We start from the raw sequence: 2,091 nt of genomic DNA, 5'->3' as shown, positions 1-2,091 counted from the left end.
GCAGTGCTGCAGCCTGTAAGATGGTATGATGGTTGATTGTAGGTGTCAACTCGACTGGACTAAGGAATACTCAGCTGGTAAAGCACTATTTCTTCTCAATGCTTCACTGGGCACTGAGCCTGCCCCTCTTCTACTGAAAGGAAAAGCCAGGAGGTTTTGCCTTTGATTAGAACAATTGGTCTGCCCAAGGTGTGCATGTGAGGGTGTTTCAAGAGGAGATTGTTGTGTGAGTCAGTGAGGATGACCTGCTTCATCCAGTGGAAGATCCACCCTCATCATGAGTGGGCACTATACAACTGGCTGGGGGCCTGGACAGAACAAAAAAGCAGAGGAAAGGCACATTTGCCCCCTCTCACCCTTCTCCTGCTCCTGAACATCAGAACTCCAGGTTCTCCAGTCTTTGAATTCCTGGATTTGCACCAGTGGTGCCTGGGTTCTCAGGCCTTCAGCCTCAGACTGAAGTTCACCATTGGCTTCCTTGACTGGAGGCCTTTAACTCGGACTGAGACATGCTATCAGCTTCCCTGGTTCTCCAGCTTACAGATGGCCTGTTATGGGACTTCTCAGCATCCATAATGAGTGAGCCAATTCCACTAATAAATACCCTCTTATCTCTCTTGTTCTCTCTATTCTATCAGTTTGCGTGGAGAACCCTGATGCAAACAGATGGTAATCCTTTCATGATCACTTTGTGTATTTCCCTTCTTTATTTTTGTTCAGATGATACCAATGAGTTGTGGATCACTCACTGTGAGGAAGATCATGGATTCTATGGAGAAATGAATCCTGAGTTGTTTGAGAACAAGAAAGAGGATGGTGATCCCTTTCTAAAATCTATGAGTCTTTTAATTTCAGTTCTTGCCTCTTGATGCAGCTTGACCTTGGATAGCTCATAATCACGGGCAACAGTGCTGATGAAGTAAGAATGAAGACTGATGTGAGGAAGTCAAAGGCTCTCTCTTACCCTGCATTCAGGAGATGAAAAGCCCTAATAAAGAAGAATGAAGAATTAAAGACATGACTGTAGAAGTAGCACCCAAATGTGTCAGAGCTTTTATCTGGAGTTCTTTTTTGAGAAAATCCTTGCTTTTTTACTCCCTCACCTTCTTCCATGTTTGATCTTTCTGGCTTCTGAGTTTCTGGCTTAGTTCAAATGAACTGTTTGGCTGTGAATCTTAGACACCTCCAGTCTCCCTCACATATCTCCCCCCATCTGCCTCATTGTTTTTAATCCATTCCAGCTTGATTTATTTTTACCACCTGATTCCTGTCTCTGGCATCACTTGTCACTTATCTCTATCTGCTCATGCTTGAGTACATTTTGCTAATGTGAGATAAAGGAAAGACCATGAGCTTTGGGATTTAAAATACCAGAAACCAATTACTAATGGTGTGACCTAGAAGAGTCTCTCTGAGCTTTAGTTTCATTTTCATTAACTATGAAAAGAGGATAGTTATACTTTCCTATTAGGGTAGAAGTGAAGAACTAAAGAGTTGACAGTAGGAAAAATGCTTCTCACAGTGGCTGGCACTTAGTACTTGCTCAATGCATGCTGCCTTCATTCCTATCTTCTGACTTCCACTCAGAGACATCCCTGCGTCATCCAGCACTAGCCAATCCTACTGACCTGACAAATGTGGCTTGTAGATCATGACATTGTGACAAGATGACCAGTGATGCAGCATCCTATTTACATCCTTTAAATCGTCCTCTCCTTCCACACTTCCTTCCAACGCCTGTCTACTCTTATTAGCTAACAACCTGTTAACAGTTATCAGCGATCTGCCTCTCCTGTCTACTGTTATCACTCCTGGCAGAACTCTAAAGAAGAAAAAGAAAGAATCAAAAGGTGTAATCTGAGATTGCTTGGGACTCACTAAAATAGTGTAAATCTTCCAAAGTGGGCATCATCTTAAATTTAACACCACCACCACCATTATAACTTTATACCTTACACCTTTTCTTTCCCTATTTTCAGAATTCTTGTCAATGATGCTTTCTGTCATGTTCCACCAAATCAGGAAATCAGTGGTTTTCACTTTCTTTAATTCTTTGTGATACTTTTTTGCTGAAACCTGATGGTTTTCCTT

General features: G+C 42.2%; 1 annotated feature.

The window, feature by feature from the left end:
* Nucleotides 465–1,664: an enhancer, noted in NCBI's record as "BRD4-independent group 4 enhancer chr8:80375461-80376660 (GRCh37/hg19 assembly coordinates)". NCBI's record gives its function as "activates an origin of replication core promoter dependent on BRD2, P300/CBP, MED14 and CDK7 cofactors, and independent of BRD4, by STARR-seq in HCT116 cells {active_cell/tissue: HCT116}" and the evidence as "EXISTENCE:reporter gene assay evidence [ECO:0000049][PMID:35650434]".

This window comes from Homo sapiens, chromosome 8, assembly GCF_000001405.40.
Source record: "Homo sapiens chromosome 8, GRCh38.p14 Primary Assembly".
NCBI classification, from domain to species: Eukaryota; Metazoa; Chordata; class Mammalia; order Primates; family Hominidae; genus Homo; species Homo sapiens.
The sequence above is the reverse complement of the archived record's forward strand: the minus strand, read 5'-3'. Positions and strand labels throughout refer to the sequence as shown.